General features: G+C 39.1%; 1 protein-coding gene across 10 annotated transcripts in view, besides 1 other annotated feature; it reads right to left on the reverse strand.

Moving 5' to 3' along the window:
• The window catches only part of DST (dystonin), a 496835-nt gene that overhangs the window by 121254 nt on the left and 353086 nt on the right, over positions 1–22495 (reverse strand). For 6 of the 10 annotated variants that reach the window (NM_001144769.5, NM_001144770.2, NM_001374730.1 and 3 more), the window contains 5 exons: positions 20820–20972; positions 19227–19460; positions 18491–18757; positions 14414–14944; positions 12933–13109 (listed from right to left, as the gene is read on the reverse strand). In NM_001144769.5, coding sequence (NP_001138241.1) covers positions 12933–13109; positions 14414–14944; positions 18491–18757; positions 19227–19460; positions 20820–20972 — 1362 coding nt within the window. Of the gene's footprint in view, positions 1–12932; positions 13110–14413; positions 14945–18490; positions 18758–19226; positions 19461–20819; positions 20973–22193; positions 22428–22495 lie in introns of all 10 variants that reach the window. The other 4 variants (NM_001374722.1, NM_001374736.1, NM_001374734.1 and 1 more) reach the window with 1 other exon arrangement.
• Positions 14642–14901: an enhancer, noted in NCBI's record as "active region_24702". NCBI's record gives its function as "activates an Ori minimal core promoter by ATAC-STARR-seq in GM12878 lymphoblastoid cells {active_cell/tissue: GM12878}" and the evidence as "EXISTENCE:reporter gene assay evidence [ECO:0000049][PMID:35858748]".

Below are 22495 nucleotides of genomic sequence, written 5' to 3' on the forward strand. Positions count from 1 at the left end.
AGGCTTTGTACAATACCCCAACTACTACTAAAACAAACAACAACCAAAATTTGAGACCACTTCTGACTCCAGGAAAGGAGATAAATAAGCTCGCCCAAATCAGTAGATCCTGACTCAATACTGAGTCATGTTTATTTCTGTTAATTCAATAAAAGTTACTGAACATCTAACAAATTCAAAAAGCCTTGCTACATTTTGTGAATATACAAAAATAAAAACAGACACAAAGCTTACTTTCAGGGATTTTATGGTTCGAGGCAGGAAGTGGTAAGTGCCACAGGTGAGTCTGAAAAAATGCTGCTGGAAGTTAACAGGAAAAAAATGGGAGGGAAATGAGGGCCACCTCAATGGTAATGACACTGAGATGGCTCCTTAAGAAAGTGTGGATTTGGGAGAACCACTCCCTGCAGAACAAACAGAAGACACAAAGATGAGGACAGAAGAATCACAGGAGAAGGGGAGAGTCCCATCCAGTTTGACAATGCTTATGGGTGAGTAAATAGAAATAGGCCTGGAAAGGCTTCAAACATCAGGCTAAGGAGTTTACATTTTATCCCATAGCAATGGGGAGTTATGCAGGGCTTTTGGGTAAGGGGTTGAGATGCTCAGGGCTGTCCTATAGGAAGGCTAAATTTGTAGCACTGCATGGGAAAAGTCCAATGGAAACGAAATAAAGGAGAGATACCAGCTGGGGACAACTTCAGCAGTAACAAAGCAGTGAGGACTACTGAAGGCCAAGGGCTGAAGACAATTCCACCGTTCGGTCTGTTTGGACTGAGAAGGTGGAATTAGTTAGAGTTGGGAAGAGTCCAAAGGACTTGGTAACACTATGCAAAGCTGTGCTGCCACTATGGTAGCTACCAACTACAGGTAGCTTTTAAAATTTAAATTAATTGAAATTTTAAACAATTAAAAATTCCATTCCTTGGTTACAGTAGCCACATTTCAAGTGCTAAGTAGTCACTGTGGCTAGTGGCTACCAATTGAACAGAGCAAAATATAAGTAAAGTATTTCCAGCTGGTGCGGTGGCTCACTTGTAATCCCAACGCTTTTTGGGAGGCCAACTTGGGAGGATCACTTGAGGCCAGGAGTTCAAGACCAGCCTGGGTAATAAAGTGAGACCTTGTCTTTACAAAAAAAAATTAAAAAATTAGCCGGGCACGGTAGTCTGTGCCTGTAGTCTCAATTACTCAGGAGCTGAGTCAGGAAGACCGCATGAGCCCAGGAATTTGAGGCTGCAGTGGGCTATGATCATGCTACTGTTAATTCCAGCCTGGGTGACAGAGTGATATTCCTACTTTCTTAAAATAAATAAATAAATAAATAAATAAAAATTTAAAAAAATAAATTTCATAATTACAGAATGTTCTAGTAGACAGCACTGCTGGAGAGGGCAGGAACAAAGGACAAGAGGAGACAAGAGTAGAAGTGTCCAAAGATTTTGAGCCTAGGTAATTAGCGGAATTTACTTTTTCTTTTTTTTTTTTTTTTTTGGTTGGGGGGGCAGCGTCTCACTCTGTTGCCCAGGCTGGAGTGCACTGGTACAGTCTTGGCTCACTGAAGCCTTGACCTCACAAGCTCAGGTGATCCTCCCACCTGAGCCTCCCAATTAGCTAGAACCACAGGTGCATGCCACCATGCCCAGCTAATTTTTTTGTATTTTTTGTAGAGCCAGGGTTTTGCCACATTGCACAGGCTGGTCTCAAACTCCTGGGCTCAAGCAATCCTCCCACCTCGGCCGTCCAAAGTGCTGGGATTACAGGAATGAGCCAAGGCTCCCAGCCAATTAGTGGCATTTATTAAAAAAAAAAAAAAAAAAAAAAAAAGTGAGAGCAAGCTAAGAGTAAAGGAATGCCTGTTTTGGAATTCATGATTTCAAAGTGCTTTTGGGACCCTCCTCCAGAAGGAAACAGCAAAAACTGGAAATGGAAGAGAGTTGGAACCCAAACTGGAAACAGACATAGAGAATTGGAAGTCAAGATACACAATGTGACTCCTAAACAAGAAAGCACAGGAATGCCAGAGAAGGAGATTCTAAAGAATCATGGAGAATATTTATATATAAGTGATGGGGAGAGAAGAAAAAAAAGAACACATGTAATTGATGGGGTGGAAATGGGCCCAGAATAACTCTGTCCCCAAAGATTAAAGGAAGAGAGAAGTGGAAAAGGTTAACAGTGTCAACTGCTTCGGAAAGGATAATGTAAACTGAAAGACTAATGAGTCCTTGAATTTAATGAGTAGCAGTCCCCGCGTATCTCTGAGTGAACAGATGTGGCTCAACAATGGGAAGGAGGAAAAAAAGGTGGAAGCAGGAGCCATAGATACGTCTTCCAGAAGTTTGACCCTGCATTTCTAACAGCTCTTACAGATTTCTGCAAAAGTGGGCTGCCTGGCCACACAGGCCTATTCCCAGCTTTAATTTATCTTAAGCAACTCATGCTCCTCTTCTACTCCTGCATTTGGATTTCAAAGCCCCCAATGTCCAGTTGTAGATGTGAACTCATCCTTGGCCATGGGCCTAGCTTTCCAACTGCCTCTTGAGTATTTCCATCTGGATGTATGCAGTCACCTCCAACTCAAAAAAGCTGAATCTGAACTCATCATCTCATTCTCTGTACCTATACTTTCTCCTGGGGTATATCTAACTACCCAAATAGTCAACCTGAAGTTCCTCCTAGATTCCATCCTAAGGCTTATTTTCCACATGCAAATCAACCATTTAAAGCTTTTTTTTTCCACACGTGCAAATCAATCAACAATTTTACCTGCTTAATATTTTTTAAAAGTCAACTTTTGCTCCATATTTCTGGATCATTCCAGGATAATCTCTCTCTTGGATTGTTGAAAAAAGAATCCTAACTGTGTTAGATCCTGCCTCCAATCACTTCTCTAATATAGCTCCTAATGTGTTCTACCTAAAATATACATCTGACCACATATCACCCCTGATATAGTTTGGATATTTGTCCCCGCCCAAATCTCACATTGAAATGCAATCCTCAATGTTCAAGGGAGAACCTGGTGGGAGATGATTTCTCATGAATGGTTTACCATCATCATCTTGGTGCTGTCCTCGACAGTGAGTGAATTCTAGCAAGATCTGGTCATTTAAAAGTATGTAGCACTTCCCCACCTCCCCACCTCTCTCCCTCTCTCTCTCTCTCACTTGCTTCTGCTTTTGCCATGTCACATGCCTGCTCCTGCTTTGCCTTGCACCATGAGTAAAAGTTCCCTGAGGCTTCCCCAGAAGCTGAGTGATGTCAGTGCCATGCTTGTAGACCCTGTAGAATCGTGAGCCAACTAAACTTCTTTTCTTTATAAATTACCCAGTCTCAAGTATTTCTTTTCTTTTTTTTTTTTATTAAAGTTTTAGGGTACGTGTGCACAATGTGCAGGTTAGTTACATATGTATACATGTGCCATGCTGGTGTGCTGCACCCATTAACTCGTCATTTAGCATTAGGTATATCTCCTAATGCTATCTCTCCCCCCTACCCCCACCCCACAACAGGCCCCAGAGTGTGATGATCCCCGTCCTGTGTCCATGTGTTCTCATTGTTCAATTCCCACCTATGAGTGAGAACATGCGGTGTTTGGTTTTTTGGCCTTGTGATAGTTTACTGAGAATGATGATTTCCAATTTCATCCATGTCCCTACAAAGGACATGAACTCATCATTTTTTATGGCTGCATAGTATTCCATGGTGTATATGTGCCACATTTTCTTAATCCAGTCTATCATTGTTGGACATTTGGGTTGGTTCCAAGTCTTTGCTATTGTGAATAGTGCTGCAATAAACATATGGGTGCATGTGTCTTTATAGCAGCATGATTTACAGACCTTTGGGTATATACCCAGTAATGGGATGGCTGGGTCAAATAGTATTTCTAGTTCTAGATCCCTGAGGAATTGCCACACTGACTTCCACAATGGTTGAACTAGTTTACAGTCCCACCAACAGTGTAAAAGTGTTCCTATTTCTCCACAGCCTCTCCAGCACCTGTTGTTTCCTGACTTTTTAATGATCGCCATTCTCACTGGTGTGAGATGGTATCTCATTGTGGTTTTGATTTGCATTTCTCTGATGGCCAGTGATGATGAGCGTTTTTTCATGTGTCTTTTGGCTGCATAAATGTCTTCTTTTGAGAAGTGTCTGTTCATATCCTTTGCCCACTTTTTGATGGGGTTGTTTGTTTTTTTCCCGTAAATTTGTTGGAGTTCATTGTAGATTCTGGATATTAGCCCCTTGTCAGATGAGTAGGTTACGAAAATTTTCTCCCATTTTGTAGGTTGCCTGTTCACTCTGATGGTAGTTTCTTTTGCTGTGCAGAAGCTCTTTAGTTTAATTAGATCCCATTTGTCAATTTTGGCTTTTGTTGCCATTGCTTTTGGTGCTTTAGACATGAAGTCCTTGCCCATGCCTATGTCCTGAATGGTAATGCCTAGGTTTTCTTCTAGGGTTTTTATGGTTTTAGGTCTAACATTTAAGTATTTAATCCATCTTGAATTAATTTTTGTATAAGGTGTAAGGAAGGGATCCAGTTTCAGCTTTCTACATATGGCTAGCTGGTTTTCCCAGCACCATTTATTAAATAGGGAATCCTTTCCCCATTGCTTTTGTCAGGTTTATCAAAGATCGGATAGTTGTAGATACGCGGTGTTATTTCTGAGGGCTCTGTTCTGTTCCATTGATCTATATCTCTGTTTTGGTACCAGTACCATGCTGTTTTGGTTACTGTAGCCTTGTAGTATAGTTTGAAGTCAGGTAGCTTGATGCCTCCAGCTTTGTTCTTTTGGCTTAGGATTGACTTGGCGATGCGGGCTCTTTTTTGGTTCCATATGAACTTTAAAGTAGTTTTTTCCAATTCTGTGAAGAAAGTCATTGGTAGCTTGATGGGGATGGCACTGAATCTATAAATTATCTTGGGCAGTATGGCCATTTTCACGATATTGATTCTTCTTACCCATGAGCATGGAATGTTCTTCCATTTGTTTGTATCCTCTTTTATTTCATTGAGCAGTGGTTTGTATTTCTCCTTGAAGAGGTCCTTCACGTCCCTTGTAAGTTGGATTCCTAAGTATTTTATTCTCTTGGAAGCAACTGTGAATGGGAGTTCACTCATGATTTGGCTCTCTGTTTGTCTGTTATGGGTGTATAGGAATGCTTGTGATTTTTGTACATTGATTTTGTATCCTGAGACTTTGCTGAAGTTGCCTATCAGCTTAAGGAGATTTGGGGCTGAGGCCATGGGGTTTTCTAGATATACAATCATGTTGCCTGCAAACAGGGACAATTTGACTTCCTCTTTTCCTAATTGAATACCCTTTATTTCCTTCTCCTGCCTAATTGCCCTGGCCAGAACTTCCAACACTATGTTGAATAGGAGTGGTGAGAGAGGGCATCCCTGTCTTGTGCCAGTTTTCAAAGGGAATGCTTCCCGTTTTTGCCCATTCAGTATGATATTGGCTGTGGGTCTGTCATAGATAGCTCTTATTATTTTGAGATACGTCCCATCAATACCTAATTTATTGACAGTTTTTAGCATGAAGGGTTGTTGAATTTTGTCAAAGGCCTTTTCTGCATCTATTGAGATAATCATGTGGTTTTTGTCTTTGGTTCTGTTTATATGCTGCATTACATTTATTGATTTGTGTATATTGAACCAGCCTTGCATCCCAGGGATGAAGCCCACTTGATCATGGTGGATAAGCTTTTTGATGTGCTGCTGGATTCGGTTTGCCAGTATTTTATTGAGGATTTTTGCATCAATGTTCATCAAGGATATTGGTCTAAAATTCTCTTTTTTGGTTGTGTCTCTGCCCGGCTTTGGGATCAGGATGATGCTGGCCTCATAAAATGAGTTAGGGAGGATTCCCTCTTTTTCTATTGATTGGACTAGTTTCAGAAGGAATGGTACCAGTTCCTCCTTGTACCTCTGGTAGAATTTGGCTGTGAATCCATCTGGTCCTGGACTCTTTTTCGTTGGTAAGCTATTGATTATTGCCACAATTTCAGAGCCTGTTATTGGTCTATTCAGAGATTCAACTTCTTCCTGGTTTAGTCTTGGGAGAGTGTATGTGTCGAGGAATTTATCCATTTCTTCTAGATTTTCTAGTGTATTTGCGTAGAGGTGTTTGTAGTATTCTCTGATGGTAGTTTGTATTTCTGTGGGATTGGTGGTGATATCCCCTTTATCATTTTTTATTGCGTCTATTTGATTCTTCTCTCTTTTTTTCTTTATTAGTCTTGCTAGCAGTCTATCAATTTTGTTGATCCTTTCAAAAAACCAGCTCCTGGATTCATTGATCTTTTGAAGGGTTCTTTGTGTCTCTATTTCCTTCAGTTCTGCTCTGACTTTCGTTATTTCTTGCCTTCTGCTAGCTTTTGAATGTGTTTGCTCTTGCTTTTCTAGTTCTTTTAATTGTGATGTTAGGGTGTCAATTTTGGATCTTTCCTCCTTTCTCTTGTGGGCATTTAGTGCTATAAATTTCCCTCTACACACTGCTTTGAATGTGTCCCAGAGATTCTGGTATGTTGTGTCTTTGTTCTCGTTGGTTTCAAAGAACATCTTTATTTCTGCCTTCATTTCGTTAGGTACCCAGTAGTCATTCAGGAGCAGGTTGTTCAGTTTCCATGCAGTTGAGAGGTTTTGAGTGAGTTTCTTAATCCTGAGCTCTAGTTTGATTGCACTGTGGTCTGAGAGACAGTTTGTTATAATTTCTGTTCTTTTACATTTGCTGAGGAGAGCTTTACTTCCAACTATGTGGTCAGTTTTGGAATAGGTGTGGTGTGGTGCTGAAAAAAAATGTATATTCTGTTGATTTGGGGTGGAGAGTTCTGCAGATGTCTATTAGGTCTGCTTGGTGTAGAGCTGAGTTCAATTCCTGGGTATCCTTGTTAACTTTCTGTCTCGTTGATCTGTCTAATGTTGACAGTGGGGTGTTAAAGTCTCCCATTATTATTGTGTGGGAGTCTAAGTCTCTTTGTAGGTCACTCAGGACTTGCTTTATGAATCTGGGTGCTCCTGTATTGGGTGCATATATATTTAGGATAGTTAGCTCTTCTGGTTGAATTGATCCCTTTACCATTATGTAATGGCCTTCTTTGTCTCTTTTGATCTTTGTTGGTTTAAAGTCTGTTTTATCAGAGACTAGGATTGCAACCCCTGCCTTTTTTTGTTTTCCATTTGCTTGGTAGATCTTCCTCCATCCTTTTATTTTGAGCCTATGTGTGTCTCTGCATGTGAGATGGGTTTCCTGAATACAGCACACTGATGGGTCTTGACTCTTGATCCAATTTGCCAGTCTGTGTCTTTTAATTGGAGCATTTAGAGAACGGGCAGATTGCCTCCTCAAGTGGGTCCCTGACCCCTGACCCCCGAGCAGCCTAACTGGGAGGCACCCCCCAGTAGGGGCAGACTGACACCTCACACGGCCAGGTACTCCTCTGAGACAAAACTTCCAGAGGAATGATCAGACAGCAGCATTCGCGGTTCACGAAAATCCGCTCTTCTGCAGACACCGCTGCTGATACCCAGGCAAACAGGGTCTGGAGTGGACCTCTAGCAAACTCCAACAGACCTGCAGCTGAGAGTCCTGTCCGTTACAAGGAAAACTAACAAACAGAAAGGACATCCACACCAAAAACCCATCTGTACATCACCATCATCAAAGACCAAAAGTAGATAAAACCACAAAGATGGGGAAAAAACAGAGCAGAAAAACTGGAAACTCTAAAAAGTGGAGTGCCTCTCCTCCTCCAAAGGAACACAGTTCCTCACCAGCAACGGAACAAAGCTGGACGGAGAATGACTTTGACGAGTTGAGAGAAGAAGGCTTCAGACGATCAAACTACTCCGAGCTACAGGAGGAAATTCAAACCAAAGGCAAAGAAGTTGAAAACTTTGAAAAAAATTTAGACGAATGTATAACTAGAATAACCAATACAGAGAAGTGCTTAAAGGAGCTGATGGAGCTGAAAGCCAAGGCTCGAGAACTACGTGAAGAATGCAGAAGCCTCAGGAGCCGATGCGATCAACTGGAAGAAAGGGTATCAGCGATGGAAGATGAAACGAATGAAATGAAGCAAGAAGGGAAGTTCAGAGAAAAAAGAATAAAAAGAAACGAACAAAGCCTCCAAGAAATATGGGACTATGTGAAAAGACCAAATCTGCATCTGATCAGTGTACCTGAAAGTGATGGGGAGAATGGAACCAAGTTGGAAAACACTCTGCAGGATATTATCCAGGAGAACTTCCCCAATCTAGCAAGGCAGGCCAACATTCAGATTCAGGAAATACAGAGAATGCCACAAAGATACTCCTCGAGAGGAGCAACTCCAAGACACATAATTGTCAGATTCACCAAAGTTGAAATGAAGGAAAAAATGTAAAGGGCAGCCAGAGAGAAAGGTCGAGTTACCCACAAAGGGAAGCCCATCAGACTAACAGCAGATCTCTCGGCAGAAACTCTACAAGCCAGAAGAGAGTGGGGGCCAATATTCAACATTCTTAAAGAAAAGAATTTTCAACCCAGAATTTCATATCCAGCCAAACTAAGCTTCATAAGTGAAGGAGAAATAAAATACTTTACAGACAAGCCAATGCTGAGAGATTTTGTCACCACCACGCCTGCCCTAAAAGAGCGCCTGAAGGAAGCACTAAACATGGAAAGGAACAACCGGTACCAGCCACTGCAAAATCACGCCAAAATGTAAAGACCATCGAGACTAGGAAGCAACTGCATCAACTAACGAGCAAAATAACCAGCTAACATCATAATGACAGGATCAAATTCACACATAACAATATTAACTTTAAATGTAAATGGACTAAATGCTCCAATCAAGTATTTCTTTATAGCAACACAAGAACAGCCAAATAACCCTGTTAAAATCTCTTAGTAGTCTCCCTTGACAAAAAGGCCAAGACTTGAGCATGCTATAGTCTAAAAGGTCCAATGAAATCTATTCCCTAATTCTACCTTCAATCTCAACTTTCTGTTCCAGAAATGTCTAACACAGCTATTTCTTAGCTATTTATTCATGCTGGACCCAATGTCTTAGAAACTCTACATACCAACTTTTTCATGCAACCTACCCCCGCCATCCTGAACTTGGCTCTTCTTCACCTTTTAATACTCAGCTGGAAAACCTTCCCTAAGTCTCTCCTCACTCCTAGCTTTAGTAAGTACTCCTTACAGGAAATCCCATAAATACCCTGTGACTATTATTGGATTTTTCTGTGTCTTCTATCAAACTATAGCCTTCTTGAGAACTAGGAAGTCATCCCTTTTGGCTTTCTATTACTAGTGCCTAGATCAGTGCTTGACACATAGCAGGCTCCAAAAATTTTTTTCAGGAATAAATCAGCAACTAAGTAAATAAATGAACATATCAGATGTAAGACCTAAAAAGGTTTTCTTCTATTTCAGCATTATTTATTATCATTACTTAAATGCCTAAAGCTAATGGCAAAAATTTCCTCAACTAATCTTCATATCCAAGAAACTGAGATGACATACAGGCAGTCTGTGCATATGTCAAAAGGCCCACCAAACCACGACCAACATAGGATCTAGAATACCACAACCTACAGTTGTTTCAAGATGCCAAAGAATCCTCATCAGAGTGGATCTGTTTGAAAAATTCTCCTAGCAGTTTAATTACGGGAAGTGTAAAAAAAAATCCCTCAAGACATGAACTTTTTACCTGTGACCACACTGAATCTAGACCACAGGGACAGTTTATTCATATAACATGGTTATTTAGGAGATGAAGTAAGTGAAGGGTACCCTCCGAAAATTTTTTTTAGATTGTGAGTTCACCAAGGGCAGAGACAGGGTTTTAACATCTTTGTGCCTTCATGAAACTCAGCATACAAACATTTACTGAATGAATAAATACATCTAAAAGTGATCATGGTTCTATTAGAATATCCAATACCAAAGATGGCCCTGACTACCAGCTTAAAACTTAGAAGTGCATTATAAAAGAAGCATGTCTTCTTCACCTCTTCTTCTCAAAACATCACATGCCTTTACTCTTGACAATTATATTCAGGAGAGTTAATCATTTTTAATTCCTAGCAAGTATCAAGGTCCTAATTTAACAATAATAGTTGTTTATAGTGCTATTTTGGAAAAAAAACTGTTAATTACAGTATTCAAATGGGTACCTTATATTGTTTTGAATGGATTTCAAGGAAATTAAGACATGAAAGAAGGATCTGTGACAAGAGAATACCTGTTGGGACCAGAAGACAGCGAAGTCTATACACTTCTGGGCATTTGTACAATTCATAAAAGTTTCCTGACTTAACACCACCCCAAAGATTAGCGCAAGTCTGGAAGGCTGACATTGTCAGTCAATGCAATCCCCATTGCTGGTTCCACACCCAGGCCTTGAGACTGGTCCCAAAATCCTGTTTTCTGCACCTCTTATGGGGCTAAAATCTTGTTTTATCCACTAATTTCCCTGGAAGGGGATCTTGAGGAGTGTTATTATGGCCTAGTAGTATCAGATTGTTGACAACACAGTTCACAGTTCTTTGAATAATAATGCTAATAACAACATGCTATTGGCCAAAAGCATTTCAAATGAAATGAACAAATTGGATGCCCCAAAAATTACATTTATGATTCATCAGAATATAAGTAGAAGATAGTATGCTACATGTAGAAAGATCGATTTTTTGTAGTAGTCTCATGGGTTTATATTATTGTTAAAAGTAATTGTAAAATGTTAATAAACATCAAAGAAATGGAGGCCACCTAATCCTCATAAAAATTTATCCTTGATACATTCTGAAATCTTCTGAGAGAAAAATATGTGCATTATCAGCAACAACTTTAATTGTACATTTAATTTTTCAAATTACGCTATGACTTAATTAGAATTCATTCTCCTTTGAGATCTCTTTCTTTTTCATATTTCTTTAACTGTCTTAGGACTGTAAGAGTCTTCTGCAGCAATTACTAAATAGGTTTTTCCGTTTTAAAATTTATCCACATATCTGTTTAATTAAAAAACCATCACATTCTTTGGGTTTTATTCTTTTTCTGCTCTAGTTATATAAAAATTACTTTTATATGCAGTATAATCTGTTTACTAATATAGATCTAACTTAAAATGTGTTATTTCTATTTTATGCATTTTCTATACTTAAAATAACTTCCTAATTAAATGTAATATATGCAATCAATAATTATTTTAAATGATACGTATTTCCTACTAAAATAATGACCTTAATGTCACAGTATCTCCTCTACCCCCACCACATATCTTGTCCTTGAATATACAATACATGGGGATATAAAAACTTAATTAAGATAGATTTGTTCTTGTACCTGTGGAAAGGAGAAAGAAAAAAAAACAGGACTGAAAATGCACATTGGAAAAAAGGAAGCAACCCTGAGGAGGCTGCATGGATCTGGGGATGCTGACCTGGCCCACATCATCTCCCTAGTGTCCAGTGAAGGGCTGGATAAACTCTTCAGCCTGGGAAAGAAGCAGTGCCCTCCACCCTCTTGACCTCCCAGCTTGACCTCCTTCCCTGCTCTCATCCTATGCTTCCCACCCCTTCACGGGCCTTCTCTCTGCCTGATATTAACCTGCCACATTTCACCCGGGTATGACTTAGCTTTCCAGAGTTGTCAATCTCAGGCAATACCTAACTTTAAGCTTGCCCAGCAGGGTACCTGTTTCCCGTGCTAACAGCACAATTTTTCGACTCTGTAAATAATATGCAATTAACTTCTGAAAGACAGCTGTCTAACTGGCAATCCTGTGTTTATTTTCTAGCTGTAGCAGTAATAACCTACTATTATTAACCTGTGAAATGGAATCATATAATAGATTGATGGAATGAAACTTTTAAACTCAAAATTATTGGTCACATTAGTTCTCATCCTTTACTTTAGAATTTTAAAATAAGTTTTACATTATAAAAATAGATTTAAGAACTCTCCACCACTGTATGACTGAGAATCGCACTGTTATGCAGTTTTGACACCAAGCCTGTATTTCTGAAAGAGCAGGTGGACTTTTTGAGAACTGTATTGAGTAATTATTCAAGTTTGTATCTCTATGAATCATGAAGATATTCAGTAAGAACCCTAATCCTGGTCCTTAGAACCGCTGAATATGATGGTAGCATCCCTTCTTCCCTTCCAACTGTCCATTCCTTAACAAATATTTATTGAGTACCAACTTTGGGCCAGGTAATATTCTAGGTGCTGTGAATACAGCAATGAATAAAGCAGACAAAGACACGTGTTCTTGTGGAGCTTAATTCTAATGGAGGAAAAAACAGTGAACAAGATAAGTAAGTATAAAGATAAATAAGTGGCCAGGAAAATACTGAGTTTTGTTTGGGGATGGAGGGGCACGTCACAAGCCATAACAGCAATGTCAAACCTGTTAAGAAAACATCAGGAAGGCTGGGCGCGGTGGTTCACACCTGTAATCCCAGCACTTTGGGAGGCTGAGGCAGGTGGATTACCTGAGGTCAGGAGTTCAAGACCAGCCCAGCCAACATGGCGAAACCCCGTCTCTACTAAAAATACAAAAATTAGCGCCTGTAGTCCCAGCTGGTGGCGGGCGCCTGTAGTCCCAGCTACTTGGGAGGCTGAGGCAGGAGAATCACTTGAACCCAGGAGGCGGCAGTTGCCGTGAGCTGAGATCACACTACTGCACTCCAGCCTACACGATGGAGTGAGACTCCATCTCAAAAAAAAAAAAAAAAAAAAAATTCGGAAAAAAAAAGAATGTACTGTGGAGAAATAGAGTCAAAACTACCTCTGGAGGCAGAAGTATACTTTTCACATCATTTGTTCCCCTCTCTTAGCTGAAACTATCACAAAAGTGTGAGAAATTGGAAGCCTTTCAGTAAGACTACTGGAAATGTGGATCTTTCTCTCGCTTTTTACCTTGGTCTCTTCTAATTGCCTTTGAAGATTTTTGGGGTCCACCGCAATAGGTTCAGATAAGTGTTTGCTCGCTGTGGCCTCACAGGCCTGGAGTCCAGCAAGAAGTCCACATGAAGCATCTTCATAGTGTTGATATTTATCCACCAGATCTTTAAGATTATTTCCAAGAACATTGCACTAACAATCAAAAGAGAAAAGGGGTAGGAGATTAAAACCCACTATTTTCATATGCATCAAATAATCTTAGGACCTATAAAATATGTAACTTGGAAAAAAAACCAGACTTCCACCAAAGTTAATAAAAACTCTGTTGGGCTAAGATTTCCTCCTTTATATGAAGAGGTACCCTATAAGAAGCCAAAAAGTAACCATAAAATAAAGAGATAGTTCTGGATTTATACCAATTCAAAAACATATTTACAAGAGCTGAGTCTTAACATAGAATAAAAGATAAAGACATCAATCATCAGAGGAAGGAGATTTTGATACACCATGTGTATAGATATCGATTTGATGGAAGGGTTTTAAAGGTGCTTAATAAATTTCTATATGTTGCACAAGTTAATTAACAAAAGGAAGACAAAGAGTCTATATTAGAATGGAGCAAAGTCCAAGAGCCAGTGATGGTCTTTAAATCATTTATGCAACTTGGCAAGTCTGTTCAGATTATATTACAAACCAGTAAATATTTTCTTAGATTTTTTTTTTTCAAAAAAAACCTTTTACTTGACCACAGAAGTAAAACAAGCAAAACAGTCTTTTATTCATTAAGTATTAAAATAACATACTGATCAAATATACAAGACAAACACCTGCAGTGTTTGTGAAGAGGATAATCTGAGATGAAACCAGTTCCCAAGCTTGAGAGGCTGCAAGCATCTGTTTTTGCTTAGAGTCAATGCACAACCGCCATCTTGTGGTCACACTGGATATTAGAGCATTTGAGAGCTGGGACTTCTGGAAATCATGCTCTCAAAAACTAAAGTAACTTTAAGTTTCTCATATTTAAATACATTGTTCAGAAGTAAAGCAGGTGAATAAGATAGAGAGAAGGCTGGGCACTGTGGCTCATGCCTGCAATCCCAGCACTTTGGGAAGCCGAGGTGAGCGGATCACGAGGTCAGGAGATCGAGACCATCCTGGCTAATACAGTGAAACCCCATCTCTACTAAAAACAGAAAAAAAATTAGACGGGCGTGGGGGTACATGCCTGTAGTCCCAGCTAGTCGGGAGGCTGAGGCAGGAGAATTGCTTGAACCTGGGAGGCAGAGGTTGCAGTGAGCCGAGATCACGCCACTGCACTCCAGCCTGGGCGACAGAGTGAGACTCCTTCTCAAAAAAAAAAAAAAAAATAGAAGTAGGCTAAAGCTACCTTTTCCTCCTGTTTTGGATTTTAGGTTTCTTGCCTCTTGTTCCAAAACTATAATTGAAAACTATAATTGCAGATTGACTTTTCCCTTAAAAAATCAAAATAACATTACCTTAGAGTAGAGAGACCTGAACCGATCAGTAGCATGATCCAACTTGCGCTGCACTTCTCTGTGGGTTGCAGAAGTATCAACCTTGCCACCGTCTCTCTTGCTGCAAGATTTGGCAGCTTCCAACACTCTGTTTCCAGAAATTGTGATGTATCTCAAGTCACCTTTGTGAGAAATAACGTCTTCTGAGAAACTCTTCTGCCTCTTCAATTTGGTCATTAAACCATTGATGTCATCTGCACCTGCCTCCAGGTTTTCAAGTTCTTGTTCTGACTGCTGTAGCCAGTGCTCAAACTCGGTATAGTCAGCATCAAACTTTTCTAATTCTTCCTGCAGAGAGTGAGTTAACTTCATTTTCTTCTCTGACTCAGCCAGTGCAGTTTCATAATGCACTTTCAGTTCCTTCATGTTCTTTTGCAGTTTCTCTTTTTCTTCAGGAGAGAGATACTGACCCTGTTTCTCAAGCAACACTTGTGCAGACTGAGTGGCTATGATCACTGCTTGGTGCTGAGAGATGATCTTCTCGTGTTGGGCCTATGTGAAAACAAATTGATCATAATCTTCAAGCAGTAACGGGGTAACACCTGCAGGGAGCTCCTTGCCGCCTCAAGACTGACAGGTTTCAATGATCTACAGGGCTACAACTTGCTTCTCATTCCCCTTTTCAAGCTATACCGTACTCCCTTTTATTGGTGGATTTCAGAATAACAAGGCATTTTGAGCATGCTAATCTTATTTTAAAGAAAATTTCCAATCTTCTCTATGTACTTAATCAGATAGGACAGACACCATTTTTCAGAAGTTTAGAAAAACCAATTTCTATTCCAATTTTAAAATAAGTGTCTATAATCTGATCTCATTTTATTCCCTGCTTTCTCACAACTACCCAAAAAAGAATGTCTTTACCTAATTTTTGGACAAACAAGTATAATATTTTTTATTACGAAATGATCCTGGAAAAACTTTTAAATAGGGAAAAAGAATCTGTAACTTTAAGCTTTAAAAAGGTTTCAAAAATAACTAAGCAAGAACACTGTACATTCAGAGAAGCCCAATGGACATTAGAGAAGCAGATATAATAAAAGAGAATCCTGGAGCTACTCAGCTTCACTGGGCCTCAGTTTCCTGCATGTGAAAATGGAGACAATAACTCCTACACATCACAGGTTGCTGTTAAGGAGTACATGAGATCACATATGTAGAGCACTTCCTGCAGAGCTGGGCATGTGCCAGAAATTCAAATCCACTCTGAAGGCAGGAAGGCAGGGCTCCCAGGCAGGTGTGCTGCAGGCAAGTCACAGGTGTGCAGAGCTACTGATCCCCTCAGTCTTCAGGGAAGCAGGGAGGCATCAGGTAGGTGAAGTCCCTTTCCCTCCAGCCATAAGCATCTTCTTCCATTCACCCCAATTTGCCATACAAGTGTGGCAAAAAGGATACTAATCCTTCTGGGCAATTTCCCACATTTCTTATAATGGCTTACATGGAGCCAAATGACCCGCTCCCATTACCCCAGAGCCCCTTTTATTACCTCCAGATTCTTTGCTGCTCCCACCCTTACCTCCATCCCCACCCTGGTAAACACTTTAGGAGCTTTTTCTCCTGTTGTTGTCTAGTTACAGCTCTTTCATCAGATATCTGCTTGGCTAATTGCACCCATCTCCATTGAGTCCCGTTTAAATGCTGAAAACTGGTCCCCCACCCCACACTCAACCACCCTTACCTAACTCCTTTTCTCCCTTAGTACTCACTGCCTTCTAACCTACCATATAACTTAGTTATTGTCTACTGTAACATTCTCACTAACTAGTGTGCAAGGGGGGCACAGGGAATTTATTTTGCTCACTGTGTAATCCCAAGTACTTAGAACAGTGCTGGCACACAGGAGCTGAGTAAGAATAACTCTATGCTGTGAAAAGGACTTCCTTAGAAGCACTGCTATGGGGCAGCCGTTCACTTGTAAGTCTGATCCCAATTAGTCAGCTCAGAACTGGCTCATTAACACTGGTATCCTCACTGTCTATAACAGTGCCCGCCACCTAGTGGGCACATAGTAAATATTTTTAACTAACTTCTTTCCCACAGACTTGTGTTTTTGGTATTTGAAATACATTCATATGCTACCCCCACCCCACCCCGAGAAGGGCTTTGCACAAAATAGCATGGACAGACATATGCAACACCATATAAATGATCAGATCCATCCCCTTCCTCCTACAGATGAGGACTCTTAGGCTGAAGGAAGAGAATGGCTTGGCCCAGGACATATGGGACAACTACTGAAAGCTAGACGTTCCTGGCTCAGGTGCTTTGGCCCTCTCTCCATGCTGCCAGATTAGGACTTTCTTTCTTTTATTTATTTATTTACTTATTTATTTATTTATTTATTTTGAGATGGAGTCTCGCTCTGTCGCCAGGCCAGAGGGCAGTGGCACAATCTTGGCTCATTGCAACCTCTGTTTTCTGGGTTCCAGCGATTCTCCTGCCTCAGTCTCCCAAGTAGCTGGGATTACAGGCACGCACCACCACACCCAGCTAATTTTTGTATTTTTAGTAGAGACAGGGCTTCACCATGTTGGCCAGGATGGTCTCAATCTCCTGACCTTGTGATCCACCCGCCTCAGCCTCCCAAAGTGCTGGGATTACAGGCATGAGCCACCACGCCTGGCCCAGATTAGGATTTTCTAAAGCACAGATTCCCATATTCTTTGAGGTAAAATGATCAGATGGGAAATGCCACACTGTGCCTAAAACCAAGGGCTTTCCTGTGTGATATCTTTATGTTTAAGTCTACCCACCAGTATTTCTCACTACTTTGGTCAACTTACTAACTTTTCCTGACTTCTTTGTAACTGACTCACAATGTTCCTTTAGGAATTCACTAGATTTTTCATTTTAAGAGACTTTATTTTTCATAATAAGGTCCTATAATAGCCCGTTAAAATTGTGAGCAGTAAATACTCCCATTCTTCTTCTGGTTTAATTTGTATTTTCTATAAGAACCTCACAGGGAGTACCCTATTCCAAAGATTCCAAATATGAAGGGTAGGAACAAAATAAATAGACCTGCAAAAGTTTCTGAGGTCCAGAAACCGTCTGTCAAAAGCCAAATATTGAAATAAAATGAGTGACACTTTAAAAGTAGTTCTACAGAAGTCGCCTTTGCTCTTATAGTAGCATTAATGTTAGCTTTAATTTATGTCATGGAGTAAATTGGTAGAAGGGCTTTTATATCTCTTCTCAACAATAGCCTTAACTGAATAGGTGAGCTGAGCTCAGAAAGAACTTAAGTGAGCTCAACTTAGCCTGGACACAGTGGCTCATGCCTGTAATCTCACCACTTTGGGAGGATGTGGGCGGAATGCTTGAGCCCAGGACTTCGAGAGCAGCCTGGGCAACATAGAGAGACCTCATCACTACAAAAAATACAAAAATTAGCCAGGCATGGCAGCACAGACCTGTAGTCCCAGCTACTCAGGAGGCTGAGGTGGGAGGATCAATTGGGCCAGGGAGTTTGAGGCTGCAGTGAGCCATGCTTGTTTCACTGCACTCTAACCTGGGCGACAGGGTGAGACCTTGTCTCAAAAAAAAAAAAAAGATTGTTCTCTTAGAACACAGATTCAGACTTAGCAGAGTGAACATATGGCCTAGTTTTAAATCCAAATTCCAGCCCTTTCTAGATATGTAACTTGAGAAAGCTACTTTAATACTGTCAGTTACAGTTTCCTCATCTGTAAGATGAAAATAAAAACCCCAAGGAGTAACTGGGAAGACAAAATGAGTTAAAATGGAAAGAACTTAGAAGAGTGCCCACTTTAACTGTCCTATAAATGTTAACTATTATTATTAAATCTTTATAATAATTCTACTTCACTTACATGGAGAATGCCAACTCTACAATTTATTTCTCATTATTTTTTGACTTGCTTAGAACTCTCATAATAATTTATATCTGACATGATGAACACAGAAAAAAACCTCTTTTGTCAGTAAGGTTTGAAAAGAACTCATGTGCTAGGTTATTTCTCTCTTTACCAACCTGGAAATAGAATTGAACGATATCATATGTTTATAACAACACACCTTAACTTTCTGATATTGCTGATTCAGATTCTCCTGAGTGGTTCCAACTTGCCCATCAACATCAGTCTCCAACAGGTTACCATTAACTTCATCCTCTTCTCCAATTGCTGACTTGCCATCACCTTCTTGAAAATGGGTCCCGTTCTGTTCGATTACCTGTTTGTGTTTTGTCCCTGCCCTTTCTGAGTCTTTGTCAACATTTGACAACCAGTCCAAAAGGTTTTCTATTTTGGTTTTGCTCTCTTCCAGCTGCTTCACTGCTGCTACCTGGGAAGGGAAAGTTCACAGGAGGAATTCAGAACGTGGGCCAAGGCATAGTTTTAAGACATTCCAAAAGTAAATACTTAGAACATTTTAAATTAGAATGAGGGTACTAAAAACTGACACAATTGAAAACTTAACAACTGAAATTAAACCTCAGAGCAACAGGCAGTTACTTTGAAGTTTCCCCTGTTCTTAAAAATACATTCCAAAATTTTAACTATAATTGATGAGTGATCACACATTTCACAAGAAGAAAGTTTCACAACCTCACTTAAATATTAAGAAAAAGTTAAGCAAAGCCAACTCTTCAAACCTTTTGTAGTACTTGGTCAATTATGTACCTGGAAACCCAGAATCCCATAATAATCCTTAGTGATAATCCTTATTTACTACCACTGGATATTAATAATAAATCAAGTAGCTGTTAAGCTTTTTGACATAGCAATAGTGCACCACATATTTGAATAAGGACCTTTTCAGTTTCTTCCTTGATTGCTGTTGTCACAACTTTATCCAGCTCCTTTTTAGACTGTTCTGCTTTTAAATTAAGCTGTTCACACTTTATCTTAGCTTCATTAAGTTTCTGTTCAATCAAAGCCTTATCTTCCTGTGACAGCTTTTCACCATTCTCTTTTAAGAAGTTCTCTGTGTTTTTCACTACTTCAGCCAATGCCTGTGCACTTCCTTGCATATCTTTCTGTAATTCCTTATAACACAAAAGGAAAAAATATATTTTATTAAATTATTACCTATTTAGTTCTTCCAGAGTTGTAATTCTAAAAGACAGAGTGAGTACAGAGAGAGTCTAGTATATGTAGCTTGAATAAACATATTGAGTATGTTAATTTGAGTTTCAATCACAATACTTAATATAATTTGAAACTCAAACAATATTAAAGAAAAGCATGAATTTTCATGTTTAACGAAAGAATGCAGTCAGTGAAACACTGAAAACACATAAGTATTCAGTATATGATCTATATAAATTTGCACACACCAGATTTTTTAATATTATATGAGCACATGTACAAAGGCTTGTAAATATATGCTAATATTTATTGTTTCTAAACTTTTATTTTTTAATGTGTTTATCACTCAGGATAAAAATGAACTAATTTTCCCAGTGAACTAAGATACTTTCCTTTTCTAAACACCAGAATCTGTAATATGTAATGTTTGCTTCTTTGCCTAGCTGCTAGGTACCTCAAGATTAAGATCTCTCCTTAGTAGTTATAGCTTTCCTATGTCTAGATTTTTCCATGTAGTTTTTCCTCTTCTTTTCCTCCTTTATCATGCATTTTCATTCTCTATATGATACTGAGTTTTAATATTATTTTTTCCATACTTTATTTTAATCTTCTTCAAATTTGTCTTAGAAGTATTTGAATTGAAAGAAATCCTATTAATTGAGCCATGACTATGTGACCTTAACTGTGCTAGTGACTTACACAATATTTACTTAACTTTTATAATAATGTAACAAAGTGTGACCTATGAAGAAACTGAGGCTGTGACAGACTGTTATAAAGCTAACAATGTATAGAGTCTGGAATCTGAACCAGGAGCTATCTACTTACAATGAAAATGTTCTCTGTCCTGACACCAAAATAAAGATATCTTTATCTGTTGTTACTGTTATTTTTGCCCTTTCCTTCAATAAAAAGGAACAAATCACAAGAAAGAAGGAGTAAGAAGGAGCTAAGAAAGAGAAAGAACCCAAAGTGATGGCTATTTCCTCTGATTTGCAAGTAGTAAGTAGGTTGGCCTTAAATGAATCCAAATTCTAATTCATCACACAAGGTATTTTCATTATCAAATCCCCTTTAATATTTCCTCCACTCAATATCTCTTACCAAAAAAAGTCAAAAAAATTACCTAGCTTGCTTGAAGTTGGAAATCTAACTTTTAGTATAAAGTTTAAAGCTCAAGCCCAGGGCGTCTTGGGTATGCCTTGCTTCTAAAAAGCTAAAATTACTGGTATTTTCAATAATCTTCACTGACTTCCAAATGATAGTAATCGAACATAACATCAACATAGATCTGCTGATAGAAAACCAAATTCTACCTCTTGCTTGGACTGATATTTCTTTAACTCAACTGTGCCATCTCCAATCATGAAGGCTTCTTGGTGACCAATTAGGCGGTTTTCAGTTTGGGTAAGAAGATCACATATCCCTTGGAGTTTCTCTTTATACTCCTGCTGACGCTCTGCTACAATCTAAAGTGAAGAAAACCCAAAACATCTTAAATGTATGGTGGTCACAAAATCGCTATTGTGATAGCTTCTTATTAGAACACATTTTCCAAGTTTTGTCTAATAAGCTTTTATAAGTATGCTGTAAACATGATAGCAGTAGGGTACAAACTGAGCAAGGTGAGACAGAAAATATGAGCATATCCCATATACAAAGAAAGTGATCATGTTTAGATGAAACTGCTCAAGAGAATACTGGCCATGCATATTTGTAAGAGATGGAACTTCTGACCAACAGGAAGAAACATCCCATTTTCTTAAGCTGTTGAAACCTGCGACACATAGAATTAATTCTGCAAAAGGACATCAAAAGAGAAGTTAGTTGTGATTTGTAGGTTAACATATTTGATATGTGTATATAGGTTATCATGCTAGAGACAATGTCTGGTGCTTCAAGAAATAATAAAAGGAACATTGCATGCAATATTTTTACTTAATCACTATGTCTAAGTGCATTCTCACCTCTTTGCTCGTTATTGCTATTAGATATAGCACTCATATAATTCATTAAATCTTCTAAAAGATTAAGAAGTCAACACTAATTACTTGCACCTTTCATTTTCCTACTATGTATACACTAATTATTCATCTTATAGCCATAGATCACGTTTACTAAGAGCCTAACACATGCTAGGCAAGGTACTAAATGTTTTACATACATTCTTTTTATCAATGCTCACAACACTAGCAGGTAAGCGCTATTGTTATTTCCAATCTACCAATGATTAAACTGAGGTTAAGTAACTTGCCCTAGTTCACAGAATGAATGAGTAGTGCAGCTGGGATGTGAAATCAGGCAATCTAGCTCCAGAGCCCATGATCTGAATTGCTGTGCTGTATTGGTTCCCAGAGGAAAACGAAACTCTTAACCTTCTTTAGTCATATGTTCCTCAATGTGTTAAATTTCTAAGTGCATTCAAATTTCCTAGTCTTGGGGTGGGAGGCAATCAAGACTCTCACTTGAAGTTAAGTATTTTTGGGAGTCACAAAAATTCAAATCAACTAAATTATAGCATCATTAGTGAAAACAATATTGTTATACACTGTAGGATTTGTATGTACACTGTATCTTATCCATTAATGCCTTTCCAGAAAATCTTTCCTGTCACACTATACTCCTTGGGTATCTACATTATGGTTTCACACTAAAAACAATGAATGCCAACTCCACGAAGAAAGGCAAACCTTCTGATCATCAAGATCTTGTTCTAGATGTAACTGAGTCTCTAAACGTTCCACCTGGGTAGTTACTGACTCCTGTACATCAAGAAAACACTTCTGAGTTGTATTTAAGAGCCTCAGCAGTTGTTTGCTTTGGTTGGGAGACAGATCCTGTGCATATTCAGAAATGAAGAACTGCACATCAAAGGCAGTAGTCTCCAGCTGCATTTTGGTATGTCCAAGGTCTTTTAATACATTCTGTTAAAAAAGTAGTACAAGCTATCAGTAGAAAGTTAAGCCATGATAAAATTTATATTAACAATAAT

This window comes from Homo sapiens, chromosome 6 (genome assembly GCF_000001405.40).
Source record: "Homo sapiens chromosome 6, GRCh38.p14 Primary Assembly".
In the NCBI taxonomy this organism is placed as follows: domain Eukaryota; kingdom Metazoa; phylum Chordata; class Mammalia; order Primates; family Hominidae; genus Homo; species Homo sapiens.